The sequence below is a fragment of the Homo sapiens genome, chromosome X (assembly GCF_000001405.40).
Source record: "Homo sapiens chromosome X, GRCh38.p14 Primary Assembly".
NCBI classification, from domain to species: domain Eukaryota; kingdom Metazoa; phylum Chordata; class Mammalia; order Primates; family Hominidae; genus Homo; species Homo sapiens.
The window spans coordinates 64,397,880-64,406,708 of NC_000023.11; the positions used below are offsets into that span (position 1 = coordinate 64,397,880).

The following is an 8,829-nucleotide window of genomic DNA, read 5'->3' on the forward strand; positions in this document are numbered from 1 at the left end:
TTAACGAACTCTTCCTGAGCTTTCCTAAGGCAACCCTTCCACTTGTCCACTCAATTTCATTCTCTTTAGCCTGCTCAATTGTTTCCTTGCCTTTATTACTAAATGTTCCCACTTTACTGGATCACTGCCATCAGCATGAAAGCATTCCATAGTATTTCCAATCTTAAAAAATATCTTTTTGGATGCACATTTCTGTCCCCAACCTGCCATCCCCCCATTCCTCTTATACTTTACAGCAGAACTCTTCAAAAGATTTATCTAAATCCATTCTCTTCTATTCCTATCCTATTCTCACTTGAAACCTCTCTAATCAGGCATTTCTTCCACCACTCCACCAAACTGTTCTTGTCAAAGTTACCAATATTCTCCCCATTGCAAAATCCATTGGTCATCCTCAGATCTCTTTTTGTCCTCTCAGCAGTATTTGATCACTCCCTTCTCCTTGATACATTTTGTTCACTTGGCTCCAGGGATAGGGATACCACTCTCTCTCCTACATCACTGACTTCTCATTCCCAATCTCTTTTGCTGTTTCGCTTCACTTTACCTATCTCTACATGTTGTAATGCTGCCAGTGCTCAGAGGTTGGTCCTCTTTTTTTTTTTTTTTTTTTTTTTTTTTTTTTGAGACGGAGTCTCGCTCTGTCGCCCAGGCTGGAGTGCAGTGGCGGGATCTCGGCTCACTGCAAGCTCCGCCTCCCGGGTTCACGCCATTCTCCTGCCTCAGCCTCCCAAGTAGCTGGGACTACAGGCGCCCGCCACTACGCCCGGCTAATTTTTTGTATTTTTAGTAGAGACGGGGTTTCACCGTTTTAGCCGGGATGGTCTCGATCTCCTGACCTCGTGATCCGCCCGCCTCGGCCTCCCAAAGTGCTGGGATTACAGGCGTGAGCCACCGCGCCCGGCCGGTCCTCTTCTTTATTTACACTTATTCCATGGGTGCTGTCATCCAGTGCCATGGCTTTAAATAGCATCTATTTGTGGACAGCTCCCAAAATTTTATCTCTAATCTTTATCTGTCCTCTGAACTCAAAGCTTACATAATATTCAGCAGCCTACTGACATGTCTGCTCAGATATCTTAGAGACCTCTCAAACTTATTACATCCAAAACAGAATTTTTGATTTCCACCTGAATCCTCAAGCCTGCTCTTTACACAGTATTATCATCTCAGGAAATTGCAATTTTATCCTTCCAAGTTTATCCTAGTGCATTTGTGCTGCCAAAACTAAATACTCTAGACTGGATAATTTGTACAGAACAGAAATGTAATTATCACAGTTCTGAAGGCTGGAAAACCAAGATCAAGGTGCCAGTAGGTTCAGTGTCTGGTGAGAAGTGCTCTCTCTTTGCTTCCAAGATGACATCTTAAATGCCATCTGGAGTGATGAATGCTGTATCCTCACATAGCAGGAGATACTCACATGGCTAGTTCCATCCAGCCCTTTTATAAGGCACTGATCCCATCTGTAAGAATACAGCCCTCATGGCCTAATTACCTTTTAAATGCCCCTTAATAATTAATTCTTAATACTGTTGCATTGGGATTAAGGTTCAATACCAATTTTGGAGGAGACACAAACATTAAAACATAGCACAGTCATTCAGGACAAAAGTCTTGGAGGCATCATTTTCTCTCATATCCCACACCTGATTCATCATCAAATCCCATGAGTTCTTCCTTCAAAATTGTCTCCAAATTCAATCACTTCTCACTGCTGTATCCTGGCCCAAGCCTCTGTTTTATTTTATTTTATTTTTTATTTTTTAAGACAATGTCTCTGTCAACGAGGTTGGAGTGCAGTGGTGTGATCATAGCTCACTGCAGCCTCCAACTCCCAGGCCCAAGTGATCCTCCTGTCTCAGCCTGCCAAGTAGATGGAACTACAGGTGTACCACCGTGCCTGGCTAAATTTTTTTCTTTTTAATTTTTTTTAGTGGACACAATGTCTTTCTATGTTGCCTAGGCTGGTTTCCAACTCCTGGACTCCAGCAATCCTCCCAGCTCCACCTCACAAAGTGCTGGGACTATAGGAATGAGCCACTGTGCCTGGCCTCAAGCCTCTGTTACCTCTTACCTGGATTGCTGCCACAGCCTCCAGCTGGTCTGCATGTTTTGGCCTTGGTCCCCCTAGAACCTATAATCTACATAGCATCTTCTATGGGACTAGAATCTAAAATCTAGAATGATATGATTCCTTGATTTAAAACTGTCTACCGGCTCTCCATTTTAGAGTAAAAGCCAAACATTAACCATAGTGTATAAATCCCTACATAATATCTAAGCCCAGTACAACTCTTATTATATCAATCTTCTATCACTCTTTTTTCTGTCTCCTCAAGTCATATTGATTTCCTTGCTGTTTCTTAAATATACCAGGCATTCTTCTGCCTCAGGGACTTTATGTTTGTTATTTCCTTTGCCTAGAATGCTCTTCCCCCAGATATTTATATGTTTACTCCCTCATCTCTGTCAGGTCTCTGATGAAATGTCTCTGTATTGACACACATAGGCTCAAAATAAAAGGATGGAGGAAGATCTACCAAGCAAATGGAAAACAAAAAAAGGCAGGGGTTGCAATCCTAGTCTCTGATCAAACAGACTTTAAACCAACAAAGATCAAAAGAGACAAAGAAGGCCATTACATAATGGTAAAGGGATCAATTCAACAAGAAGAGCTAACTATCCTAAATATATATGCACCCAATACAGGAGCACCCAGATGCATAAAGCAAGTCCTGAGTGACCTACAAAGAGACTTAGACTCCCACATAATAATAATGCGAGACTTTAACACCCCACTGTCAACATTAGAGAGATCAACGAGACAGAAAGTTAACAAGGATATCCAGGAATTGAACTCAGCTCTGCACCAAGCGGACCTAATACACATCTACAGAATTCTCCACCCCAAATCAACAGAATATACATTTTTTCAGCACCACACCACACCTATTCCAAAATTGACCACATAGTTGGAAGTAAAGCTCTCCTCAGCAAATGTAAAAGAACAGAAATTATAACACACTGTCTCTCAGACCACAGTGCAATCAAACTAAAACTTAGGATTAAGAAACTCACTCAAAACCGCTCAACTACATGGAAACTGAACAACCTGCTCCTGAATGACTACTGGGTACATAACGAAATGAAGGCAGAAATAAAGATGTTCTTCGAAACCAACGAGAACAAAGACATAGCATACCAGAATCTCTGGGACACATTCAAAGCAGTGTATAGAGGGAAATTTATAGCACTAAATGCCCACAAGAGAAGCAGGAAAGATCCAAAATTGACACTCTAACATCACAACTAAAAGAACTAGAAAAGAAAGAGCGGACACATTCAAAAGTTAAGTAGAAGGCAAGAAATAACTAAAATCAGAGCAGAACTGAAGGAAATAGAGACAGAAAAAACGCTTCAAAAAATTAATGAATCCAGGAGCTACTTTTTTGAAAAGATCAACAAAATTGATAGACCGCTAGCAAGACTAATAAAGAAGAAAAGAGAGAAGAATCAAATAGATGCAATAAAAAATGATAAAGGGGATATCACCACCGATCCCACAGAAATACAAACTACCATCAGAGAATACTACAAACACCTCTACGCAAATAAACTAGAAAATCTAGAAGAAATGGATAAATTCCTCGACACATACACCCTCCCAAGACTATACCAGGAAGAAGTTGAATCTCTGAATAGACCAATAACAGGATCTGAAATTGTGGCAATAATCAACTGCTTACCAACCAAAAAGAGTCCAGGACCAGATGGATTCACAGCCGAATTCCACTAGAGGTATAAGGAGGAACTGGTACCATTCCTTCTGAAACTATTCCAATCAATAGAAAAAGAGGGAATCCTCCCTAACTCATTTTATGAGGCCAGCATCATCCTGATACCAAAGCCTGGCAGAGACACAACAAAAAAAGAGAATTTTAGACGAATATCCTTGATGAACATTGATGCAAAAATCCTCAATAAAATACTGGCAAACAAAATCCAGCAGCACATCAAAAAGCTTATCCACCATGATCAAGTGGGCTTCATCCCTGGGATGCAAGGCTGGTTCAATATATGCAAATCAATAAATGTAATCCAGCATATAAGCAGAACCAAAGACAAAAACCACATGATTATCTCAATAGATGCAGAAAAGGCCTTTGACAAAATTCAACAACCCTTCATGCTAAAAACTCTCAATAAATTAGGTATTGATGGGACATATCTCAAAATAATAAGAGCTATCTATGACAAACCCACAGCCAATATCATACTGAATGGGCAAAAACTGGAAGCATTCCCTTTAAAAACTGGCACAAGACAGGGATGCCCTCTCTCACCACTCCTATTCAACATAGTGTTGGAAGTTCTGGCCAGGGCAATTAGGCAGGAGAAGGAAATGAAGGGTATTCAATTAGGAAAAGAGGGAGTCAAATTGTCCCTGTTTGCAGATGACATGATTGTATATCTAGAAAACCCCATTGTCTCAGCCCAAAATCTCCTTAAGCTGATAAGCAACTTCAGCAAAGTCTCAGGATACAAAATCAATGTACAAAAATCACAAGCATTCTTATACACCAATAACAGACAAACAGAGAACCAAATCATGAGTGAACTCCCATTCACAATTGCTTCGAAGAGAATAAAATACCTAGGAATCCAACTTACAAGGGATGTGAAGGACCTCTTCAAGGAGAACTACAAACAACTGCTCAACGAAATAAAAGAAGAGGATACAAACAAATGGAAGAACATTCCATGCTCATGGGTAGGAAGAATCAATATCGTGAAAATGACCATACTGCCCAAGGTAATTTATACATTCAATGCCATCCCCATCAATCTACCAATGACTTTCTTCACAGAATTGGAAAAAACTACTTTAAAGTTCATATGGAACTAAAGAAGAGCCCGCATCGCCAAGTCAATCCTAAGCCAAAAGAACAAAGCTGGAGGCATCACGCTACCTGACTTCAAACTGTACTACAAGGCTACAGTAACCAAAACAGCATGGTACTGGTACCAAAACAGAGATATAGACCAATGGAACAGAACAGAGCCCTCAGAAATAACGCCGCATATCTACAACTATCTGATCTTTGACAAACCTGACAAAAACAAGCAATGGGGAAAGGATTCCTTATTTAATAAATGGTACTGGGAAAACTGGCTAGCCATATGTAGAAAGCTGAAACTGGATCCCTTCCTTACATCTTATACAAAAATTAATTCAAGATGGATTAAATACTTAAACATTAGACCTAAAACCATAAAAACCCTAGAAGAAATCCCAGGCATTACCATTCAGGACATAGGAATTGGCAAGGACTTCATGTCTAAAACACCAAAAGCAATGGCAACAAAAGCCAAAATTGACAAATGGGATCTAATTAAACTAAAGAGCTTCTGCACAGCAGAAGATACTACCATCAGAGTGAACAGGCAACCTACAAATTGGGGAAAATTTTCACAACCTACTCATCGGACAAAGGGCTAATATCCAGAATCTACAATGAACTCCAGCAAATTTACAAGAAAAAAACAAACAACCCCATCGAAAAGTGAGCAAAGGACATGAACAGACACTTCTCAAAAGAAGACATTTATGCAGCCAAAAAACACATGAAAAAATGCTCACCATCACTGGCCATCAGAGAAATGCAAATCAAAACCACAGTGAGATACCATCTCACACCAGTTAGAATGGCAATCATTAAAAAGTCAGGAAACAACAGGTGCTGGAGAGGATGTGGAGAAATAGGAACACTTTTACACTGTTGGTGGGACTGTAAACTAGTTCAACCATTGTGGAAGTCAGTGTGACAATTCTTCAGGGATCTAGAACTAGAAATGCCATTTGACCCAGCCATCCCATTACTGGGTATATACCCAAAAGACTATAAATCATGCTGCTATAAAGACACATGCACACATATATTTATCGCGGCACTATTCACAATAGCAAAGACTTGGAACCAAGCCAAATGTCCAACAATGATAGACTGGATTAAGAAAATGTGGCACATATACACCATGGAATACTATGCAGCCATAAAAATTGATGAGTTCATGTCCTTTGTAGGGACATGGATGAAATTGGAAATCATCATTCTCAGTAAACTATTGCAAGGACAGAAAACCAAACACCACATGTTCTCACTCATAGGTGGGAATTGAACAATGAGAACACATGGACACAGGAAGGGGAACATCACACTCTGGGGCCTGTTGTGGGGTGGGGGGAGGGGGGAGGGATAGCATTAGGAGATATACCTAATGCTCAATGACGAGTTAATGGGTGCAGCACACCAGCATGGCACATGTATACATATGTAACTAACCTGCACATTGTGCACATGTACCCTAAAACTTAAAGTATAATAATAATAAAATAAAATAAAATAAAAAAAAGAAATGTCTCTGTATCAGAGAATCCTTACCTACCTGAACACCATATATAAAATAAAACTATCACTACTTCTTCTCCAACATTCTCTACACTCCTAACTTTTTTCCTTCATAGTTGTCAATACTACCTGATATATTATAGGTGTATTTGTCATTTATTACCTCCCTCTCTATTATGTCATCTCTGTGAGGGCAGGGATTTTTGTTCACTGTTGGATTTCCAAAGTCTAGAATAGTCCTAACACATAGTAGGTACTCAATAAATATTTGTTGAATAAAAACAACAAATATTTTTATCTGTAGCTCATATTTTTCCCACCATTAATATTAGTGATTTCTCATAATATTCCCTTTTTAAGGCAAGTTGGTGTCATTTCAGGGTAAACTGATGCACTCACACTGACTTGCCAAAGGTTACAGAAGAGCCGCAAGTCAGAATGTACCCCCATAGGAATAGAGAAAGCCTGGAAATAAGAGAGAAAATCTGGAAGAAAAAACTGCTAGGCTAATGAAAATATTTTCAGTGAAAGAGATACTAGTAGCATCTATTATTTGTTTCTTCCCTGTAGAATGTCACCTCCATGAGGGCAGCAGTTTGTCTCTGTTCTGTTCACTACTGTACCCTACTGCCTAGACAAGTTCTTGGCAAAGAGTAAATGTTTGATAAATAACTAAATGAATGACTTTGGACTAACAGCTAATGTAGGCCAGAGGGTAAACTAAAGGGAAGAAGTCTGGAGGCAAGGAAACCAAGTAGGAAGCTGTTGTGATCATCTCAAAAGAAGTTGTGAACTGACAGTCCTGTGGGCTTTTTGATTTTGTACCTATAGCTCGGGTCTCAGTAAGATTAACCAACATATGAGATACTAATTACTGCAGTAAATCTCACCTGTCCTATTTCACATCTAAGCCTTCAACTCAATTATTTCCCACTTATGTTCTACTAAGGTCTTTCCTACTATTGGGAGTTGGTATTTTTCCCACAGTACACCAGGGGAGTAAGTAAGTATACTTTGCACCCACTGTCTTTATAGCTATAGATACAGCCTCAGAAAGCTACTGCCAGAAATCACCAATGATATAGTTGATTATGACTCCTTAAAAAGTCACAGAACCTTTGTGACCTCACTCCTATTCTTGAGGTAGCTTGATAAATCACAGCAGATGGCAGCTGAGACACAACTTTATTCAAGTCACCAAGACCTCCTCTACCTTGCTTCTGGGGAAAGGCCATAAGAAAGAGACTGTATTTTTAGTTTATTTCAGTCTCAGCTGATCAGACTTCTTGAGCCAAGTGCTAACTAGTTTCCTTTGAAGACCAACTTGCTAGAGACAGCTTACCTGAATCATGCAGTGTATACAGGATGTCAGTGAAGAGGTCTGGCAGGAATGCCTCACTCTCTTCCTACTGACTGGTACATGTTATGATGCAGTAATTATCACCAATTCCCCACCCTGGTTATTAGCATCTTACTCTGAAGGTAACTTGTTCCAGTTGACCCAGGAAGAAATTCAGATTTTACTGGCAAGAGAGGGGAGAGAGAAATTGTTTCTCCAAGGAGTCACCCTTGCAGGGACCAAATGCTTGTTGATTTGAGACAATCTGTACACTGAAGGCAACAACACCATGTACCTGCGCACCAAAGGCCAGAGTCAGGGCAGCCGGGCAGTGACGGTAGTTCAGATCGAGTCTGTAAGGCTTGTGGTGATTGGACAGAAAGGAACAGAAGGAGGGCCTCTCAACCTCGAAGCTTTTGAGATGGCAGGTTATGTCAGAGAGGCCATTGAGCAACATGTGGCCCATTTATAACTAAATAAAAAATAGTTGGTGTTTGACCTGTAATTTGAATTCAGTGTTATGTGTTTCACCTACTAAATTAATATGTTCTTCAGGAAAATAGAAGATTCCAGACCAGGTTTGGAGGTGTGTGTGTGTGTGTGTGTGTGTGTGTGTGTGTGTGTTGGGAAGAGATATGGGTTAGAGTAGTTCCTTCAACGGTTTGGGATCTGGTCCATTATTTAACAATTGTGTGCACCTAGAATACCAACCTTTCTGTATTAGTCTATTCTTGCACTTCTATAAAGAAATATATGAGACTGGGTAATTTATGAGAAAAAGAGGATTAATTGGCTCACGGTTCCACAGGCTGTAGAGGAAGCACGATGCTGACACCTGCTTGGCTTTTGGAGAGAACTAAGAAAACTTACAATCATGACAGAAGGCAAAGGGGTAGCAGACACTTCACATGGTTGAAGCAGGAGCAAAAAAGATTGAGAGGAGAGGTGCAACACACTTTTAAATGACCATATCACACAAGAACTCACTGACTATTTTGAGGACAGTATTGAGAGAGATGGTGATCAAACATTCAGGAGAAATCCAACCCCATCATCCAATCACCTCCCACCAGGCCA

General features: G+C 40.2%; 1 pseudogene across 1 annotated transcript; it reads left to right on the forward strand.

Annotated features, from left to right (window-relative positions):
- Positions 7,441–8,257, forward strand: PFN5P (profilin 5, pseudogene; annotated as a pseudogene). Its single transcript, NR_170298.1, has one exon. The product of NR_170298.1 is annotated as a profilin 5, pseudogene (transcript).
- The last annotated feature ends 572 nt before the right edge of the window (positions 8,258–8,829 follow it).